Genomic DNA, 21,482 nt, shown 5'->3' with positions numbered 1-21,482 from the left:
CTGGCAGGCTTTCTCTCCTGGTGCTACCTCCCTGTGACAGCTACTTGGGCAGCAGACATGGCTGAGGGCATGACCTGCTTTGCTGAGCCAGTAACAGCAAAGGAAGAGACACCCCAGCAGATGCTCATAAAGGATTTTATGTGGTGAACATAAAAAGCATAGTCTGCCTGTCTTGATGTTTCTAATGAGCTGGTGCCTCTGTGCTAATTTTCTTGCCTTTGTTCCTCATCAGCCCCACATTCTTCTGAATGCTTTCATCTGCGCTTAATATTCGTTTGTTATCTATTACAAGAATAAGAGGACCAGAGTCAGAGGTGTGCCTCTAGAAGGGTCCCGGGGTCTGAGTCAGCTCTCTCACCTTGCAGATGAGAGCACGGAACTTTGGAGAACAGAATGACTTACCCAAAGCCACACAGTCATTAGTGGTGAGCCAGATTTTCTGACTCCTAAGCCTGTCTTCTTCCCCCGTCCACTAGGCTCCTCCATGCCCATATTTCTGTATGAGCAAGTAAGGTGTGTTCCCCTTGAGAACAAATGGAATATTTCAGACCCGTGAGTGTTGAGTGCCTGCTAACTGAAAGCCTTTTGAAAAATAACTACAGCTTTATACATGCAACAGAGCCTTTTCTGTGGCCAGTGGACACCATAAGCTGTTCAATAGCAATAAATATTTCCTGAGCATCTGCAAGGTACCAGGAACCATTCTAGGACTCAGCCCCAGACAAGGCGTACAACACTGCTTTAGCAAAGCTTGCATTTTTGTTGTAGAAGATCATACAATGCAGAGAATTTCAGGAACACAGTTCCTTTGTTTTTCACAGACAGGGAGAAGGGACTTGCCCAGTATAACATGGCTTGTTAGCACTAGAACCAAGACCAGAATCCAGGTTTCCAAACCCCTATCCAGTGCTCATCTCTACACAATGTTCCAACGTTTTTTGTTTTTTGTTTTTTTTTTCCTGAGACGGAGTCTCGCTCTGTCACCCCAGGCTGGAGTTCAGTTGTACGATCTCGGCTCACTGCAACCTCTGCTTCCTGGGTTCAAGCGATTCTCCTGCCTCAGCCTCCTGAGTAGCTGGGATTACAGGTGCCCGCCACCACACCCAGCTAACTTTTGTATTTTTTTTTTTTTTTTTTTTAGTAGAGACGGGGTTTTACCACATTGGCCAGGCTGGTCTTGAACCCCTGACCTCAAGTGATCCACCCACCTCAGCCTCCCAAAGTCCTGGGATTACAGGCATGAGCCACCGCGCCCAACCTGTTCCAACACTTTCGTATGTTTTTCTGCTGCACTAAAATTTGCTGCTCTTTTTCAAAATCTGTGCCATAAGCAATATTATCAGCACAACCCAGGACCTAGGTAAATGACAAAAATGTTTGACCTACTGCCCTTATTGATAATGAAAAACGGAGAAAAAATGTTTAAGCATTAAGCAATGCTTTGGTCTATAGATTAGGTGGCATCCACATGAAGACCCTAATTTGAGAGGTAGAAACAAGCCAAAAAAAGTCCACCTGTTGTGAAAGAAAACCATTATAACACATCCTCCTGATGTTTATCCTAATAATCATAATAATACCTTCAACATAATTTTGTTTTGTTTTGCAAGCAGGAGATGTTTCTACAGAGTTGGCTAACAAATTCTTAAAAACTCATTGAAGCCACATACAAGGGCCTAATATTGTCTCCCAAAATGTTTTTTTCTAAAATTGATGAAGGCTAAAATTGAACCTTTTTACCAAACTGCCTCTGAAATTTACACCACAATTTATCTAATTTTAGACTGCCTATTAGTTAGATTTGGGGGGTTGTAGGTTGCAAGTGTCTCATTCAAGCTGTTTCAGGAATGAAGTTTGTTTTGTTTTGTTTTGTTTTTTTGAGATGGAGTCTCGCTCTGTCACCAGGCTGGAGTGCAGTGGGGCGATCTTGGCTCACTGCAACCTCCGCCTCCCGGGTTCAAGCGATTCTCCTGTCTCAGCCTCCTGAGTAGCTGGGACTGCAGGCGAGCGCCACCACACCCAGCTAATTTTTGTATTTTTAGTAGAGACGGAGTTTCACCATGTTGGCCAGGATGGTCTTGATCTCTTGACCTCATGACCCGCCCACCTCGGCATCCCAAAATGCTGGGATTACAGGCGTGAGCCACCACGCCCGGCCTGGAGTTTTATTTTAAAGTTACATATGACGGGGAAACAAAACTTCCTCAGGATACACAGTACAGCCTCTCAGCTGGCCTGACGGAGAGTAAGCACTGTCAGGCACTGGGAGAGGCTTGCTGTCTCCTGCGGTCACTTCTACACTTTCTCTGCTTCTTTTTGTGGGTATTTTCACTTATCCACCCACCGCCGGCTGACTGATTCTCTCACATGCCATAATTCAGCTGTTCTCTTAGGTTGAATCAGCCTGTGGATTGGCTGCCCTTGGGTCCGGCACCCACCACTGGTCCATTCAGCTGTGCCTGGCTTGGTTATGTGGGACAGACCTGGTCACATCTGCCTGCTTCCTCTGTGGGAAACTGTGGACAAAGAAATGTTCTCTGGGGAGCAGGGGAAACCATAACATGCACCATGAGAAACTAATACAGGAGAAATTAATCCTGAAAAATATAAAAATATAATTTTATAAAATTAGAGAATACTTTTTTTTGAGACAAGGTCTCACTCCATCACCCAGGCTAGAGTGCAGTGGCTTAAGCTATCTTCCCACCTCAGCCTCCCAAGTAGCTGGAACCACAGGTGCACCCCACTATGCCCAGCTAATTTTCTATTTTTTGTAGAGACGGGGCTTTGCTTTGTTGCCCAGGCTGGTCTCAAACTCCTGGGCTCAAGCAATCCACCCGCTTTGGCCTCCCAAAGTGCTGGGATTACAGGAATGAGCCACCACACCCAGGCTATGGAATACTTTTGTAAAAATACAATTGAATTTATTTCAAGTTTATGCAGCAATTCACATAAAGCCAAAAACTGTGAACTCTCTAAGTAGAGATCCATGAGGAACCCCTGCTTTTAAAAATAGATTTTTCCAGGTACTCAGGAGGTGGGAGGATTCCCTGAGCCCAGGAGTTCAAGGCTGCAGTGAGCTATGATCATGTCACTGCACTCTAGTCTGGGTGACAGTGAGACCCTATCTAAAAATATAAAATAATAAAATAAAACATAAAACTATTTATGGTTAACATATTGTACTCAATTACTCAATTTGACAAGTATTATTTGAAGATCTAAATTCATTTACTTTTTTTTGTTGTTGTTAATAGAGATGAGATGGCCAGGCATGGTGACTTACACCTGTAATCCCAGCACATTGGGAGGCCAAGGCAGGTGGATCACTTGAAGTCAGGGTTCAAGACCAGCCTGGCCAAGATGGTGAAACCCCGTCTCTACTGAAAATACAAAAAAAATAGCCGGGTGTGGTGGTGGGTGCCTATAATCCCAGCTACTCAGGAGGCTGGGGCAGGAGAATCGCCTGAACCCAGAAGGCAGAGGTTGCAGTGAGCCAAGATAGTGCCACTGCGCTCCAGCCTGAGCAAGAGAGCGAGACTCTGTCTCAAAAAAAAAAAAAAAAAAAAAAAAAATAGAGATGAGATTTCACCATGTTGCCCAGGCTGGTCTTGAACTCCTGGGCTCAAGCAATCCTCCTACCTCAGCTTCCCAAAGTACTGGGATTACAGACGTGAGCCACCATGCCCAGCCATCTAAAATCATTTACTTATATGTAATGGGTTACATAATTTGATAGGTACATATTCTCTAAAATATTTTATTTTTAATTTTTCTTATGGGTGGCTCATTTCATCTTACATCTTAAATATTTTAGGTAGTATCCCTCTGATTTTATTTACTTTATCCAAAAGAAAAGGTATCAATTAAAATTTTTATTTTAAAATGCCTGCCTGGCATAATGTTGCCAGTTAGCTCAGCTGGTTAGAGCATACTGCTAACAAAATACTTGCCTGGATAGAGTTAATATATCCTTCATCTTGATGATATTAATATTTTCCTGATCCAAAGAACATCAAAGATTTATTTCCCTGCATATTAAATTTCATGATCAACCCATAAACTTAAAGGGCTTAGAGTAGTATCTATTCTATATCGGCCAACTTCGTGCCTTCTTCTTCTTTGTTTTCTTCTTCCACAATTAATTCGAGATCTACCTTTTCCTGGAAACTTCCTTTGATGGTCTAGGAGACAGGGCTGTCATAGACTAAGCCCATCCTAAGTTATGGCAGAATGATATAAACCAGATACTTCTGTGGCTGTGGCATCCTCCTCAGATTAAGCATAATCACCTATTTTAAAAGAACACAATTAATGAGAATTAAACTAGAAAAGAGCTGTCCAGTTTCCTTGGTCCAACACCTCATATTTTGCACTTGTGGGAGGTGCTTCTCAATGAACGCTGAACAGTGGCCATATGGAGACCTGGACCTCTGAGAAGATGCACCTGACGTCTGAATAAAGGCAGACTTTTTCCTGCAGCTGTTAAAAATGTCTTAATGGCTCGGGCCTTTAAGAGATCATAACTGCCACTCTTCATCAAAGGTAGCTTATTTAGAATTAAGTGTGGAGCCCTGATAAGTAAACAACGACAAGGAAGGGGTCGCTGGTTGGGGTGGGGGCAGGTGGGGAATATCAATGAATGAATGATTGTTCTGAGAGATGGCTAATCACAAACAACCCGCGGGCACAAGCACCTGCTGGGGGACCTCCTTCTGCACATAACCCCCTCCAGCACAACCCTATAAAACTTCCCTCCAGCCCCTCCCTCTCTGCAGACGGCTCCTTTTCTGCTGTGCTGCCCGCTGCGGCCTTGCAAAGTATTTTCATTCCTTCTCAATAAATCTGCATTCCTTTATGTACAACTGTCTTGATAAATTCCTTTACCATCTGCGCCACTGGCCCCAGATAGTCACCACCTGTGACATTAAGTTTGTCGGGTAACATATATCAGAACTTATTTATTTAAAGGACTTCAAAGTGGTTACATCAGGAGGCACAAAATTGCAGCCATTGTTAAAGTATTATCAGAATGCCTTTCCTGGGGCTGCCTTCAGGAATGTCTCAAGAAAATCCGTGTGACTGGGTTACTGTGATGATGTGACCTCAGAGAGCAAAATAGACACCCCTTTATCAACTAAGATGGACCCTGAGGGTAAAGAAACCAAAATATTACCTAGAGATAGAGGATTCAGGGGCCAGGTGGCATGACAAATTTCTAAATTTCTACAAGCAAAACCGCACTTTCACTAAACCCCCTAACAACAGAAGCTATCAGGCAGATTATCTGAACTCTGGTTTACAACCCAGACCACTACAACTCTGTTGGACAGAGGATCAGCCTTACAAACATTCTCTTTTTTGACAAACAACTGCAGACCTTAAGCCAATTTCAGCCAGCTTGTAGAGGCCGCGCACAAACCATCTTTGAGTCATAAAGTTCACCTTTTGACATAAAGAGCCAAATTCTACCTCATTTTAATGCTAAAACCCCACCCCAAAGTGCACAGGGGATGTATGTTGCATATATGTTTACCCATTGCTCAAGCACAAGGCAGCCTTCATAAATATGTATAGCCTTTCCCCAAACCTGCTGAATATGTATGACTCTAGTGTGTAATACAGACCCTGTGAGGCATAAAACCCAACCATCCTTCCCCTCTTTGAAGAGAGAGCACCTTTGATACACACTGGACACTTTCTCTTCCCAGCTGGCAAAGCGATTATCACCAGTAAAGGTCTTCTTTCTACCTTTTAGCCATCGTGGTGGTCTTTTGGACAGCAATAATCAAACTGTTGGATCAGAGAGGCAAGCACAATGACGATTTCTAATATTCACCTGAATCGTCACTAAAAGAGCTTCCAAGTGCACTTTGGAAGTGCCATCGAATATCTTTTCTGGGTTTTTCTTTTTTTTTTTTTTTGAGACGGAGTCTCGCTCTGTCGCCAAGGCTGGAGTGCAGTGGCGTGATCTCGGCTCATTGCAAGCTCCGTCTCCCGGGTTCATGCCATTCTCCTGCCTCAGCCTCCGGAGTAGCGGGAATACAGGCGCCCGTCACCACACCCAGCTAATTTTTTGTATTTTTAGTAGAGATGGGGTTTCACTGTGTTAGCCAGGATGGTCTCAATCTCCCGACCTCGTGCTCTGCCCGCCTCGGCCTCCCAAAGTGCTGGGATTACAGGCGTAAGCACTATTAGAACTTGAATCATATTTAGTATCTAGTTCAATCAAGTCTAGGTTTGGCAAATGATACGGTTCTTGAGGTAACTGTGTCATCCTAGGATTCAAGATCAACTAAACTGTAGGAATTTCAGTTGCATCTATTATTGCCCACTAATTGTGAGATGATAGCATATATGCTACAACATACATACAGAGGAAGCTATCCATAGAATTGTATATATATTTCAACTTGTAGAACTGACATAATTTTTTACTCACATGTTTTTTTATATGATATTAATGCACTGAGGGAGAACATTATGCTTTTTTAATTACTTTCTATTTTATTTACATATTTTTTAGAGACAGGCTCTCACTATGTCACACAGGATAGAGTGCAGTGATGCAATCATAGCTCACTGCAGCCTCAAACTCCTGGGCTCAAGCATCCTCCCACCTCAGCCTCTTAAATAGCCAGGACTACATACAGGTGCACACCACCGCACCTGGCAATTTTTTTTTAAGAGACAGGGTCTTGCTATGTTGCCCAGGCTGGTCTTGAATTCTTGGCCTCAAGCAATCCTCCCACCTCGGCCTCCCAAAGTGCTGGGATTATAGGCATGAGATGCCACACCTAACCTAACTTTTTAATGTGCAATTCACCCCTTAATTATTCTGTTTTAAGAGTTTGGAAATTTGCACATCTTCCTAAAACAAGACCCACCTACATGTATTGAGGGGGCTGAACTTTTTAAAGTATATGCTACAAATGGAACATTTCGTTGTAGTTTCCACCTGGGCTTTATTTGTATGTAGAAGAAATTTGTGTAGACTTTATCTGTAACTAATTTTTAAATTTCTCAATGTTTGGCCAGACGTGGTGGCTCACGCCTGTAATCCCAACACTTTGGGAGGCCGAGGCAGGTGGATCATGAGATCAGGAGTTCAAGACCAGCCTGGCCAAGATGGTGAAACCCTGTCTTTACTAAATATACAAAAATTAGCCAGGTGCGGTGGCAGGCACCTATAATCCCAACTACTCGGGAGGCTGAGGCAGGAGAATTGCTTGAACTCGGTGGGGCAGAGGTTGCAGTGAGCCGAGATCATGCCACTGTGCTCCAGCCTGGGCGGCAGAGTGAGACTCCATCTCAAAAACAAACAAAAAAAAATTCTCAATGTTTAATTCAGTGGTATTAATCACACGGCAATTTATCTCCAGAAAAACTGAGTTTTTCAGTTTTGTTTTGAGTATATATAGCCACCACCATGCGGGCCAGGCGTGGTGGCTCACGCATGTAATCCTAGCACTTTGGGAGGTCGAGGAGGGTGGAGGGTGGATCGCCTGAGGTCAGGAGTTTGAGACCAGCCTGGCCAACATGGCAAAACCCCCGTCTCTACTAAAAATACAAACTTAGCTAGGCATGGTGGCGGGAGCCTGTAATCCCAGCTACTTGGGAGGCTGAGGCAGAAGAATTGCTTGAACCCAGGGGACAGAGGTTGCCAAGATCATGCCACTATACTCCAGCCTGGGCAAAAAAGCAAGACTGTCTCAAAAAAAAAAAAAAAAAAAAAAAAAAAAGGATGTTCGCTATAGTGCTGCTATAATTAGAGTTTTGTTTTAAAAGCAAAGGAAAAGAAATGAGTATATACCTAAAGCAGAATAAGATCTTAGATCATAAGTGTCCAATGATGACCCTATGATGAGATGCCTGATCTTTTAGGGTAACAACAATTTTTTTAAATAGTGCTTTGCTTTCTATTTTATAGCTCTTTACAATTTACAAATAATTTTCACATCCACCATCTCATCTGATCCATTGGATGGATTAGCCAATGCTTTTCAATTATGAAATACACACATACACACACACACACACACACACACACACAGAGACATACATATATTTTATAATATATATTTTACTAAGATGCTAAGACTCTCACCTAATAAACTGCATTTGGGCCACTATCACTCTGCTGCTTTTTACAGCATAATCTGAGCCACCTCTATAACATAAAACAGACACATACCGCATGAGAATCTTTACTACTGGCAGAGATGTCACTGCATGATATTCAAAAAAGACTGTGCTTTCGGTTTTTAACTGCAGTTGTTACTGCTGTGTCCTGCTGTTGACAACTCATTTTTCTAGACACCAAAACAACTACTAGGGGTGGTTATTTAGAAAATTAGGAAAATCTGTCAACTTTATGGAACGTGCCACTGTGGTAGTCATAACTGTTGTTTTCCAAATATTTCCAAACTCTCTTGTCTTCTGGGTACACTGCCAGTTTGCACTTTTGCACCTTTTGAGGTTGTGGGGGATGATGACACTAATTCTGCCTTACAAGTTGAAAGCAGAAATGATGTCACTTCCAAGTCCCAAGCAATTAATTGTTGATGCAAGACCCTTGTGGGCTTTTTCCTTCCTCCCATGGTGGTAAGCAATATTCCACATAGCAACTGCTGCATTCATCTGGGTTCCATGATGAACATGCAGCGTGTGCAAGAAATAAAGCTTTGTTGCTTTATGCCACTGAGACTTGGGGCTGTTTGTTATGTCAGCTAACCCAGCCCATCCTGACTGACATAGACACTGAACCAGTTGTTTGGTATCCTGAGGTAAAGCAAGGAGTTACTTGTCTGAACATTTTACTTTACCATCTGTTATTCTAGTGTTCTTCAAAGACATTCTTAGATCAAAGAAGAACTGCCCTGCTCTTGACTGATGCATGCCAGACTGCTCTGCCAGCCATGTGGCTCCGTGCTTGTCCACATAATTACAATTCACAGAGATAGCTTGCTTCCATCATAAAAACATGTAGAAGGTCACCCTGTGTGCAGCAGAGGGCTGGTCTAAGGTGGAGCCCTCGAAGTGTGGCCTCCAGACCTGGGCCTGGTCGGCTGATGGTTTGTCACTAGTCTGCCACAAAGTAAGTATAGAACTCAAGAGTAAGCACTTAGAAACTTCTGTCTCCTAGACAAAAAGCAATTCTGTCTAAGAGACTGAGAGCAAAATAGACTTCACAGAGGAGGTCAAAAGCTCAAGCTCTGTCTTACACGAGGTTGATGGGGGGTAGAAATTCCCTGAGCAGATGATGTTGGGAATGGTACTCAGAACAGCCACACACAGGGAGACTGTGTGTGAGTTAGAAACATGTGCCCCCTCTGAGTGGATGAATTTGAAAATGTGCCCCCACCCCAAAGGATGTGACCTCAGGCCAGCATCCAGGGCTTGGCCAGCAGTGAGACTGGATTCCAACCCCACCCCAACCATCTCAGCTGGGTGCCTTTGAGCAGTACAAAAAACCCAAACTAGTCAACTGACAGCATTGGACCAGGTATGCAGGTCAGAAAAGTCTGTCTGAAGGTGAGGCTGCAAGGAAAACCAAGGCTCATTCAGCCAGCTGCAAGCCCTCCTTATGCTGGAGCAGAGATAGACAAAGAGAGAAGCAACGGGAGAGGTTGGCTCTGCCCCCACAGGGCTTCCATCCCGAAAGGAGGAATCTAGACATGGTCTGTGTGTGAAGAGCACTGGAAGGAGAGGCCTGATCATCAGTGAGCACTGCTGTGCTAGGCCCTCTTGGAGCCCGAGACAGAAGGAAACGTGTGTGTCCCTATATGCGCTTATCAAAATATCTTCCCATGCTTTGAACCAAGTGGAAAAACGTCATTTAAAAGTCTCCAATCAAAAAATTAAGCCTCAGCCGGGCACGATGGCTCACGCCTATAATCCCAGCACTTTGGGAGGCGGAGGCAGGTGGATCACTTGAGGTCAGAAGTTTGAGACCAGCTGGGTCAATGTGGTGAAACCCCATCTCTACTAAAAATACAAAAAAATTAGTCAGGTGTGGTGGCATACACCTGTAATCCCAGATACTAGGGAGGCTGAGGCAGGAGAATCGCTTAAACCTGGGAGGCAGAGGTTGCAGTGAGCCAAGATCGCACCATTGCATTCAAGCCTGGGCAACAGAGCAAGACTCCATCTAAAAAAAATAAAAATAAGAAATTATATATATATATATATATATATATATATATAAAGCCTCCTTCCCCCCATCTCCCTTTCTTCTCTCTTTTAAAACAAAAATAAAAAGGCCAGGTACAGTGGTTCACACTTGTAATCCCAACACTTTTGGAGGCCAAGGCAGGATGATTTGAGCCCAGGAGTTCAAGACCAGCCTGGGCAACACAGCAAGACCCCCATCTCTACAAAAAAAAAAAAAAATCTAATAAAAATATCCAAGAGGCTGGGCATGGTGGCTCATGCCTGAAATCCCAGCACTTTAGGACGTTAAGACGGAAGGATTGCTTGAATCCAGGAGTTCGAGATCAGCCTGGGCAACATAGCAAGGCACCGTCTCTACTAAAAATCAAAAAAATTAGCTGGCCGTGGTGGCACGTACCTGTGAACCCAGCTACTCAGGCAGCTGAGGCAGGAGGATTGCTTGAGCCCAGGAGGTTAAGACTGCAGTGAGCTGTGATTGCACCGCTGCACTCCAGCCTGGCAACAAAGCAAGACCCTGTCTCAAATATTTTAATAAATTTTTTAGAAAGTACCCAAGAATGGTGGCACACACCCATAGTTCCAACTACTCGGGAGGCTGAGGTGGGAGAATTGATGGGGCTTGAGAGGTTGAGGCAACAGTGGGCCATGATGGTGCCACTGCACTTTAGCCTGGGCAACAGAGCAAGATGCTGTCTCAAAAAAAATTTTTTAAGCCCTCCCTTTCTTTCATCTTTCTTCCCTCTCAAAATACAAACAAACTATATATATGTGTGTGTGTGTGTGTGTATGTACATATATACATATATACATATATGTGTGTATATACACACATATACATATATGTATATATGTATATATTATATATACACATATATGTGTATATGTGTATATATGTATATATTATATATATACACATATATGTGTATATGTGTATATATGTATATATTATATATATACACATATGTGTATGTGTATATATGTATATATTATATATATACACATATATGTGTATGTGTATATATGTATATATTATATATATACACATATATGTGTATGTGTATATATGTATATATGTATATATATACACATGTATGTGTGTATATATGTATATATGTATATATATACACATGTATGTGTGTATATATGTATATATACACATATATGTGTATATATGTATATACACATATATGTGTATATATATATTGCCCAATTTGTTTGTACCCCATTGTCAACCCTCACAGATCCATGGCAGGGACACAGCAGCCACATAAGCCCAGGATCCAAAGCCTGATTGGAAACGGCTCCTCTCTTGCAGTAACGCAAGGTCGTAAAACAAACCAAACAGCCTGCTTTTATAAAATTTTGATATGTTGTTTATCATGGGCTTTTTGGTATTGATTTTGTTTTAAAAAATATTGTGGTAAGGCAGGAGTGACTGAGGCAAGTATTAGAGCAGGAATGAAAGTTTATTAAAAAGTTTTAGAGCAGGAATGAAAGGAAGTAAAGTACACTTGGAAGAGGCCAAGCGGGCGACTTGAGAGATCACCCACTGGACAGTCTGACCTTTGACTTACGGTTTTATACGCTGGCATGCTTCCGGAGTCTTGTGTTCCTTCTCCCCTGACTCTTCCCTTGGTGTAGGCTGTCCACACTTGCGCAGTGGCCTGCCAGCACCTGGGAGGGGAGCATGCGCAGTGTGTGGCCTGCCAGCACCTGGGAGGGGAGCATGCGCAGTGTGTGGCCTGCCAGCACCTGGGAGGGGAGCATGCGCAGTGTGTGGCCTGCCGGCACCTGGGAGGGGAGCATGCGCAGTGTGTGGCCTGCCAGCGCCTGGGAGGGGAGCATGCGCAGTGTGTTTGTACGCATGCAGGAGTTGTACACATGCTCACGTGAGGCGTTCTTCCCTTATCAGTCGAATGTCCCTAGAAGGTCATATACCAGTTAAACTCTGGCATTCTGCCTGTTAGTGCTCATGCTTGAGTACACTCGCCCAACTGCTAAGATCTTACCGGGAAGCTGCTTATCACCCGTTTCAGGTGTTTTCTATCTACTGGGAGCCTGTCTTTCCCTAGCACCGGCTGCGACCAATTATTATTTTAGAGCGACAGACTAACAGCCGCCTGACCATCACCTGATGGTCACCTGAGGTTCCTGCTATTGGAACAGACCCTCTCCTGCCCTGCTCATACCTGACAGCTACCTACTGTAACACACCTAGGCAGATAAAGATGAGATTGTGGAGTTCCAACAGAAGCAGACATTAGGGAATGAGCTGAAAGGTGGAGGTGGAAGTTGTTCAGGGAGATGAGATTGCGCGGGGTACGTAAGAAGAGAGCCTCAGTAGGCTTCGCGGTGGAGCAGGCTGTCCCATCTCCAGCGAAGCTCCCCCCATGCCTCTGTCTCCATATGGAGTTCCACTGTTAACCCTGGGCATCTCCAGCAAGATCCCTACGGGGAGAGGGAACGCATCTGAGTACTGTTTGCAGAACCACACACGACAGCTCTGAATGAATAAGCCAAGACAACACCCCGAGATTCTTCCTGCGGATTTGGGTTCCCAGGCCGGGAAGGAGCTGTTGGAGCCTGCATGGAAGATTAGTGGATCTGCAAAAAGACAATGTGGATGACTGGCCGACGCCTTGTCCCAACCCTGTCCAAGCAGAAGAATCGCCGGGATACTTGCTCTGGATACAAATTCTTGGACCCTGACTCAGACCAACTAAATCAGAACCTCTAGGAGGCCTCCAGACACTGCATTTTTAACAAATTCCCATGTGATTTTTAACGCAGTATAAGTTTAGGAAGCGCTGCTCTGTTGACAAGGAAAGGCTCTGGTCTGGTTTGTAGCAGACTGTCCAGGCTTTCCCAATTTGGTCCAAAAAGGCAGAAAGTGATTGGCTTGAGAGGGCAGAATCAATGGAAAAAGTTTATGAATTCCTGCCCCTGGGAACATTCGTCTTTCACTTTTCATCTTCTTCCCCACCCCCACCTCTTTGGGGTATAGTCTTCCCCATGCCCCAGTTCCACATCTGCTCTGACCTGGGGTTCCCACCCAGCCTCCATCCAGAACACGCTCACCCTGTTTTTGTAAGAGAAAACATTGTCAAAATCAGCTTATGCCTGAAAATTCAAGAAGATAAATTCCTCCTGAGCCCATTTGCTGGCATTCTCATCTGTTTCCAGTTTGGTGTATATCATCTGAAGGGTCCTTGTTCATCCATTTTGGTTCAAGTCAGTTTAGAAAAGAAATGCACTTTACACTGGGCACAGTGACTCACGCCTGTAATCCCAGCACTTTGGGAGGCTGAGGCGGGTGGATCACTTGAGGTCAGGAGTTTGAGACCAGCCTAGCCAACGTGGTGAAACCCCATCTCTACTAAAAATACAAAATTAGCCAGGCATGGTGGTGGGCACCTGAAGCTACTTGAAAAGCTGAGGCGGGAGAATCACTTGAACCCAGGAGGTGGAGGTTGCAGTCAGCCAAGATCATGCCACTGCACCTCAGCCTGCGTAACAGAGTGAAACTTCATCTCAAAAAAAATTTAAAAAAGAAAGAAAAGAAATGCGTTTGGAACACAATGCAATCGATCTTTGGAGAAAATCCATCTAAAATGCTTCTCTTATTGTTTTTGGGGGTTTTTTTTGTTTTGTTTTGCTTTGGGGTGTGCTTTTCTCTTTTCTCATATTTAAAGTTTGTTCTTGTGTGGTTCTCCTAGGAAACAGCACTTTCCCAAGCTTGACAAAGAAAAGCCTCAGGGAAATAAATTGGGATGTGATGAAATGTATTCAGCCCAAGAAGTAAAAAATTCCTTTCCTTTCTTCCAAGCCTCGGGCTTGTAAGTTGCTTTTATCACACTGGATTTAAGTGTTCTTATATGGAAACACACACAAAAATCTGATGGTTGATCAGCTGAAATTCATCAAAATTATTTGAAGACAAATTGGCATTCAAGACACCAGAATAGACAAGAGAAGAACCTGAGGGCTGTGTTCTCTGAGTGAAAGGACATCATTCTAATTAGCCTGTGACAAAAGAAAAAAAAATACCCTTCTCCCAAAAAGTTTATTCATTTTACCCATGTGTACAGGCACTGTCCTAGGCTCAGGGAATACTGAGAAAAACAGAACAAATTTCTGTCCTTCTAAAGCCTATATAATAGAGAAAAACACACAAACCAACAAATAAATCTAAATTCGAAATTTCAGTACCCTGAAGACTTACCACTATGGGAGCCCAGCATTAAACTGCCTGCTCTAGCCGGGCACGGTGGCTCACGCCTGTAATCCCAGCACTTTGGGAGGCTGAAGTGAGCAGATCAAGAGTTGGAGATCAGCCTGGCCAACATAGTGAAACCCCGTCTCTACTAAAAATACAAAATTAGCCGGGCATGGTGTACAGCCAAGTAGCTGTAATCCCAGCTACTCGGGAGGCTGAGGCAAGAGAATCTCTTGAACCTGGGAGGTGGAGGTTGCAGTGAGCTGAGATCGCGCCACTGCACTCCAGCCTGGGCAATAGAGAGTTCGTTTCAAAAAATAATAATAAAAAAAATTAAAAACTGCCTGCTTATATCTGGGCCAGCTTGTAGTCCCAGCTACTTGGGAGGCCGAGGAGGGATGACTGCTCGATCCCAGGAGTTCAAGATCAGCCTGGGCAACATAGTGAGAACCCATCTCTACAAAAGATAAAAGGTAAATAAAAATGAAAGATCGTGAAAATCAAGGTCACAGGGATGGATCACTCACCGTGAGTTAGGGACAGTTGGTGACATGCACTGCTTTTCAGCCACACAATCGGCAACCCTGTTTTGCTACTGCCTTGAATGGAAATGTGTTTTATTTGGCATGACAGTGTGCACATACACATACGGTGATAGGAGGCAAGGGCACTGGTTTCATCTCACGTGTAGAAATGACTCTCCATACCTTAGGCTTACGGCCAATTGGTGTATACAGGAGTGGACATGGATGTGGGTGGATGTGTGGGTGTGTCTGTACACACAGCCACCAGCCGGTACCCCACACATACCAGGAATTTCTGAGATTCTCACAGACTACTGAAGAAGATGTCTGGGGAGCATGAAAGCTTCTCCACAGCCAGCCATGGTGACTGACACCTGTAATCTCAGCACTTTGGGAGGCCAAGGCAGAAGGACTGCTTGAGCTTGGGAGTTCAAGACCAGCCTGGGCAACATAGAGAGAGCCCCCCCACCCCCGCCATCTCTATAAAAAATCAAAAAAAGCTAGGTGTGATGGTGCACACCTGTAGTCCAAGTTACTCAGAAGCCTAGGGCAGGTAGATTGCCCAGCCTGGGTGACAGGGCAAGACAAGAAAGAAAAGAAAGAAAAAGAAGAAAGAAAGAAAGAAAGAAAGAAAGAAAGAAAGAAAGAAAGAAAGAAAGAAAGAAAGAAAGAAAGAAAGAAAGAAAAAGAAAGAAGGAAGGAAGGAAGGAAGGAAGGAAGGAAGGAAGGAAGGAAGGAAGGAAAGGAAGGAAGGAAGGAAGGAAGGAAGGAGGGAGGGAAGAAAGAAAAGGAAGGAAGGAAGGAAGGAAGGAAGGAAGGAAGGAAGGAAAGAAAAGAAAAGAAAGAAAGAGAAAGAGAGAAAGAGAGAGAAAGAAAGAGAGAAAGAGAGAAAGAAAGAGAGAAAGAGAGAAAGAAAAGGAAAGAGAAGAGAGGCCGGGCACGGTGGCTCATGCCTGTAATCCCAGCACTTTGGGAGGCCGAGGCGGGCGGATCACAAGGTCAGGAGATTGGGACCAAGCTCGCTAATGCGGTGAAACCCCATCTGTACTAAAAGTACCAAAAGTTAGCCGGGCGTGGTGGCAGGCGCCTGTAGTCCCAGCTACTTGGGAGGCTGAGGCGGGAGAATGGTGTGAACCCAGGAGGCGGAGCTTGCAGTGAGCCCAGATCGCGCCACTGCACTCCAGCCTGGGCAACAAAGCGAGACTCCGTCAAGAAAGAAAAGAAAAGAGAAGAAAAGAAGGAGGGAGGGAGGGAGGGAAGGAAGGAAGGAGGGAGGGAGGGAAGGAGGGAAGGAAGGAAGGAAGGAAACCTCTCCATTATGCAGAATATATAAACAGCCATTTTTCTTTCTAAACTCTAGTTTTCTTTTAAAGTTAAATGCAACACCCATGCATGCAGACTGTAGCCCTGATGATCTGGGAAAAATATACAGGTACCAATTCATCAATTCATTGTTTCTGGCACTGCCGCCAGGTTTGTCAGAGAAAGGAAAGGACAGAGGACTTGGCCAGGGCCTTGGGGGCGGGGAGGGGACGGCCAACATAATCAAAAGAACCATCTCTGAGCATGCCGGGTTCTGTGCATTTAGCAGGCTGCTCCTCCTCACCTTGTCCCCCGTCTTTCATGAAGCCAGGGCGTTCTAGAAACGTAGAGGAAAAACTGGAATGACGTTCTATGATGAGGTCAAACCCATCTGCCCAATTTCACACACAGGTCTGACCCTTTGGGAATTGTAACAATATTTTCCTGAATTCCTGATTCTCTTTTTTTTTTTTTTTTTTTTTTGAGATGGAGTCTTGCTCTGTCACCCAGGCTGGATGGAGTGCAATGGCATGATCTCAGCTCACTGCAACCTCCACCTCCCTGGTTCAAGTGATTCTCCTGCCTGAGCCTCCTGAGTAGCTGGGATTCCAGGCGCATGCCACCACGCCTGGCTAATTTTTTGTATTTTTAATAGAGACAAGGTTTCACCATGTTGGTCAGGTTGGTCTCGAACTCCTGACCTCGTGATCTGCCCGCCTCGGCCTCCCACAGTGCTGGCATTACAGGTACGAGCCACTGCACCCGGCCAAATTCCTGATTCTTAAGTCCTTAATTTTAACTTTAGTGTAACATTCTTTTATCTTCATTACTTTGCCAGGCCTCTGATTTTACAACTCTTCCTCCTACTTATCGGCTCTCACTCCCCATCCCCTCACCCTCACTCTGACGCTTTCTTCCCAAGGAAGCCCTGGCACCCCACCCCTTCCTCTGCCTCCCTCTAATTCAGTACAGTCAGATGCTCCCTTGGGCCCTCATTCTGGCTCCCAAGTATCCAGAGGTCATGGGTTTGTGATTCAGATGACTAAACTCATGCTACCCAAGTACAATGCACAAGCCTTTTTGATTCTGCTGAGTAACACGAATCATGGGGTTCTTTCTTATGCAATTAATCACCCTCAAAGACAACGTGGAGTAGTTTTTTGTTTTTTTGTTTTTTTTTTTTTTTTTTTTTTTTTTTCTTAAAAAGACAGTAGTTTTTGTCTAAAGAACGAAATCAAGCAATAGTTCAGACATTGACTACATGTATCTGGAGTGGGAGAACACAGTGGTGTTTACAAAATTCAAGTGCCTTTGCAAAGGATTTTAGATCATCACCGTGTCCGCAATAAAGTCATATTAACATAGCATGAGCTCTGTTCCCGTGGCAGCTCCCATTCTAAAGCAAGGCTCTGAACAAGGGAGTAGTCCTGCAACACACAGCCCCCTTAATTTTAATCGACACCCAACCATAACACTTACTAAAAGGTGAGGGCCCATCCCAAGAGTGAAGAGCATTTCCATTTTCACCTGAAGGGCAAAGGAAGTGTTTGGGTTGGAGGTATAGGGAAAGAAAACTGTCCAGGAAAACTAACAATCTAAGAACTCTCCATGGCTCTTAGATTCAAATATGAAGAATAACAACTCAGCCAGTGAAAGTCTAAACGCTAAGAGTTACAAGCTGCCTCAAGCTTATCGAAGGCCTTGCTCCAGACAGAATTCCCCACATTGTCCCCAGCAGAGCTGGAGGATGTGTCCTCACCTTTTAATAAGTGTTATTATTGGATGTCATTGGTAGTTGTGTGTTACAAGACAATTCTCTGCTTCATAACTTTGCTTTAGAATGCAAGTTGCCTTAGGAATGGAGCGCATGCTATTTGAATAGCATTGAACTGATTAGTTCATTGAGCTTAAACATCACCAGCCAAGAGAGGACCCGCTATTTTGCAGGAAGCTCTTCTGGAATCTGCTTGCCTAAAATTTCTAACCACAGAGCCACCTGTTAGGCAATCGTTATTAAAGACGGTTGGGAGGCAGCAGGGAGTTATGGATAAGAAATCTGGAGGCACCCCACCCCACCCTGGCTCCCAGTCAATCACTTGACAGCTGTGTTGCCTTCGGTGTTACCTAGCCCCTGGGTGCTTCAGTGTCTGCAGGTGTTAAATAAAAAAGGGATAACAATAGTAATAACCCCAGCCAGGCGCGGTGGCTCACGCCTGTAATCCCAGCACTTTGGGAGGCCGGGGTGGGCGGATCACCTGAGGTCAGGAGTTCGAGACCAGCCTGACCAATACGGAAAAAACCCCGTCTCTACTAAAAATACAAAATTAGCCAGGCGTGGTGGCGCATGCCTGTAATCCCAGCTACTCGGGAGGCTGAGGTAGGAGAATTGCTTGAACCTGGGAGGCGGAGGTTGCGGTGAGCCGAGATCACGCCATTGCACTCCAGCCTGGGCAACAAGAGCTAAACTCCATCTCAAAAAAAAAAAGTAATAACGCATGAGGTTTTTATACATATTAAATTATATTATACATCTAAAGTGCTTAGGCCGGGCACAGTGGCTCACGCCTGTAATCCCAGCACTTTAGGAGGCCGAGGCGGGCGGATCACCTGAGGTCAGGAGTTCGAGACCAGCCTGGCCAATATGGTAAAACCCCGTCTCTACTAAAATACAAGAATTAGCCAGGCATGGTGGCGGGCACCCGTAATCCCAGCTACTCAAGAGGCTGAGGCAGGAGAATTGCTTGAACCCGAGAGGCAGAGGTTGCAGTGAGCCAAGATCGCGACACTGCACTCCAGCCTGAGTGACAAGAGCGAAACTCCATCTCAAAAATAAATAAATAAACAAACAAACAAATAAATAAAGCACTTCAAACAGAGCCTGGCACGGAGTAAGCGCACAGTAAATGTTAGTGATGGTGATGATCATGCCCCTGCAACATCTCCTCCTCTCCGGATTAACTAGCTCCAGTCCCATCAGCCATTCTGCAGGTCATGAAATTCCAAAAATAGCTTCTCTGTTAGAAGCTCCTCCTCCATTAGAGTGAGCTGCAAAGATGTGGATTTTATGCTGTGATGTGGTACCTCAGGGGAACAGCACATGCCTTGACTTGGACTTCACAAATGTGTCAGTGCTGCCTACGATTGCTTTGACTTTCTGGCTGTTGTCTCATCACTGGTCCTTCTCAGTTTTCTAGACACCTCAAACTACCAAGTCTTTTTCATAAAAACTACTGTCAAACCAAGTCTTTCCAATTTGTATTTATGTAATTTACTTTGACAGCACAAATACATTTACATCTATTAAAGTAAATTCTTGTCTTGGGATCTTCATTCCAGCTTATTGCAACATATTTGTATTCTGGTTTTATTATTCAGTCTTTCCTAATTTTGTGTCATGTGCAAAACTTGATAAATGTGCTTTATCTTTATCCAAGTGATTGATGAAAACGTTATCCAAACAGATGCAAAGACAGAGCCCTGTGGCACATCACTAGAGACTTCCATCTAGTAAAGGATCTCTTCTTGAATGTTTCAGTTATGACTCCATCTAACTCTATTATCATGATCTCTGCTTTTTTCCATTGTTCATAAGATATCATGCTGGTCAGGCGCAGTGGCTTATGCCTGTAATCCCAGCACTTTGGGAGGCCAAGGCAGGCGGATCACCTGAGGTCAGGAGTTCGAGACCAGCCTGACCAATATGGAAAAAAACCCCGTCTCTACTAGAAATACAGAATTAGCCGGGCGTGGTGGCGCATGCCTGTAATCCCAGCTCCTCGGGAGGCTGAGGCAGGAGAATCGCTTGAACCCAGGAGGCAGAGGTTGCGGTAAGCCGAGATCGCACCAGTGCACTCCAGCCTGGGAAACAAGGGCGAAACTCCATCTCAAAAAAAAAAAGAAAAAGAAAAGAAATCATGCTAAAAATTGGCACGTGCTTTTTCTCTTTCAATTCCTGGTGGGGGAAAAAAAAAAGTTGGCCTGGAAGCATTTCTTCTTAGAAAGAGAAAGGTGGTAGTCAGGAAACATGGTGCTAGCCCCTACAATCACGTCCCAGAGCTCACAGCATGGCTACATGGGCTTGTCAGAGGAGTTTTCTGAGTTGAGTTGATACAAACCCAGCAGGATTGACAGATCATCACATGGAAGGGGGTTGCACTAGAAGCAACTGGAACCAGGCAATTTGGTGTGGCATATGCCGCAACTAAATTTCACTAACATGTCATTTCTTTTCTGCTGAAGACCACGATTGGATTGGACTTGGATTGAATCACTGGGCTCGGGACAAACATCTTGGCTGAGTCATTACAAACACAAGTTGTCTGCACGGATCTCCAAGGACTACCTCTGCACCTGCTCTCAGAAGCTGCACGGGGAGGGAGGGCTCTTCCAGGTGTGGCACTTACTCCCTGAAGGGAGCCAGAATTCCATGCAAAGAGAAAGAAGGGGGATGGGTGTGGGTTTTTGGCTCACTATGGGCCTCAGGGAAGTTGAAGGAATCAATAACACAAACAAGTGAATAGGAATTCACTGTTGGTTGGGGGCATGGTGGCTCACACCTGCAATCCCAACACTTTGAGAGGCCACAGTGGGAGGATTGCTTGAGCCCAGGAGTTCAAGACCAGCCTGGGCAATATAGTGAGACCCCATCTCTACAAAAAAAAAAATTTCAAAAATTAGCCAAGCGTGGTGGCGCACGCCTCTAGTCCCAGCTACTTAGGAGGCAGAGTGGGAGGATCGCTTGAGCTCAGGAAATGCAGGTTGCAGTGAGCTGAGATCACAGCACTACACTCCAGCCTAGGCGACAAAGCAAGACCCTGTCTTAAAAATAATAATAAAAATAAAGAATTAACTGTTTACTGGATCCTGAGCTTTCTTGTAAGAGTGGCTGAATCTGGTCAATTCTGAGATGAGTCAAAAGATGAATGGAAAATAAAATCTCAGGCTGGGCATGGTGGCTCATGCTTGCAATTCCAGCACTTTGGGAGGCGGAGGGAGGAGGATCACTTGAGCCCAGGAGTACAAGACCAGCCTGGGCAACATAGGGAGACCCTGCCTCTACAATTTTTTTTTAATTAACCATGTGTGGTGGTGTGCACCTGTGGTCCCAGCCAGTACTCAGAAGGCCGAGGCAAGAGGACCACCTGAGCCCAGGATGTCGAGACTACAGTGAGCCGTGATCGCACCACTGCACTCCAGGCTGAGTGACAGAGAAAGACCCTATCCCAAAAGAAAAAAAAATTACTTTTAAAATTTTTTAAATTTTTTTT

General features: G+C 44.7%; 1 long non-coding RNA gene across 6 annotated transcripts in view, besides 6 other annotated features; it reads right to left on the bottom strand.

Moving 5' to 3' along the window:
* Positions 1 to 11,825, bottom strand: part of GPRC5D-AS1 (GPRC5D and HEBP1 antisense RNA 1) — a 94,773-nt gene extending 82,948 nt beyond the window's left edge. For all 6 annotated transcript variants that reach the window (NR_149067.1, NR_149062.1, NR_149063.1 and 3 more), the window contains exon 1: positions 11,748 to 11,825. This is a non-coding gene — a long non-coding RNA (GPRC5D and HEBP1 antisense RNA 1). The remainder of the gene's footprint in view (positions 1 to 11,747) is intronic.
* Positions 17,211 to 17,355: an enhancer, noted in NCBI's record as "145 bp 12:13075202 oligo used in MPRA reporter constructs". NCBI's record gives its function as "activates a minimal TATA-containing promoter with rs2111398 allelic activity by MPRAs in UACC903 melanoma cells {active_cell/tissue: UACC903}" and the evidence as "EXISTENCE:reporter gene assay evidence [ECO:0000049][PMID:36423637]".
* Positions 17,211 to 17,363: a biological region, named in NCBI's record as "melanoma risk locus-associated MPRA allelic enhancer 12:13075202". NCBI's record gives its function as "regulatory_interactions: GPRC5A".
* Positions 17,276 to 17,363: a transcriptional cis regulatory region, noted in NCBI's record as "rs2111398-gRNA-G1, rs2111398-gRNA-G2 and rs2111398-gRNA-G3 region targed for CRISPR interference". NCBI's record gives its function as "positively regulates GPRC5A gene expression in UACC903 melanoma cells {active_cell/tissue: UACC903}" and the evidence as "EXISTENCE:mutant phenotype evidence [ECO:0000015][PMID:36423637]".
* Position 17,283: a transcriptional cis regulatory region, noted in NCBI's record as "rs2111398 or 12:13075202 MPRA-significant variant associated with a GWAS melanoma risk locus at 12p13.1". NCBI's record gives its function as "allelic transcriptional activity by MPRAs in UACC903 melanoma cells {active_cell/tissue: UACC903}" and the evidence as "EXISTENCE:reporter gene assay evidence [ECO:0000049][PMID:36423637]".
* Positions 18,448 to 18,592: an enhancer, noted in NCBI's record as "145 bp 12:13073965 sequence used in MPRA reporter constructs". NCBI's record gives its function as "activates a minimal TATA-containing promoter with rs1684353 allelic activity by MPRAs in C283T melanocytes {active_cell/tissue: C283T}" and the evidence as "EXISTENCE:reporter gene assay evidence [ECO:0000049][PMID:36423637]".
* Position 18,520: a transcriptional cis regulatory region, noted in NCBI's record as "rs1684353 or 12:13073965 MPRA-significant variant associated with a GWAS melanoma risk locus at 12p13.1". NCBI's record gives its function as "allelic transcriptional activity by MPRAs in C283T melanocytes {active_cell/tissue: C283T}" and the evidence as "EXISTENCE:reporter gene assay evidence [ECO:0000049][PMID:36423637]".

This window comes from Homo sapiens, chromosome 12 (assembly GCF_000001405.40).
Source record: "Homo sapiens chromosome 12, GRCh38.p14 Primary Assembly".
Taxonomy (NCBI): Eukaryota; Metazoa; Chordata; class Mammalia; order Primates; family Hominidae; genus Homo; species Homo sapiens.
This window is presented reverse-complemented; position numbering and strand designations above follow the sequence as displayed.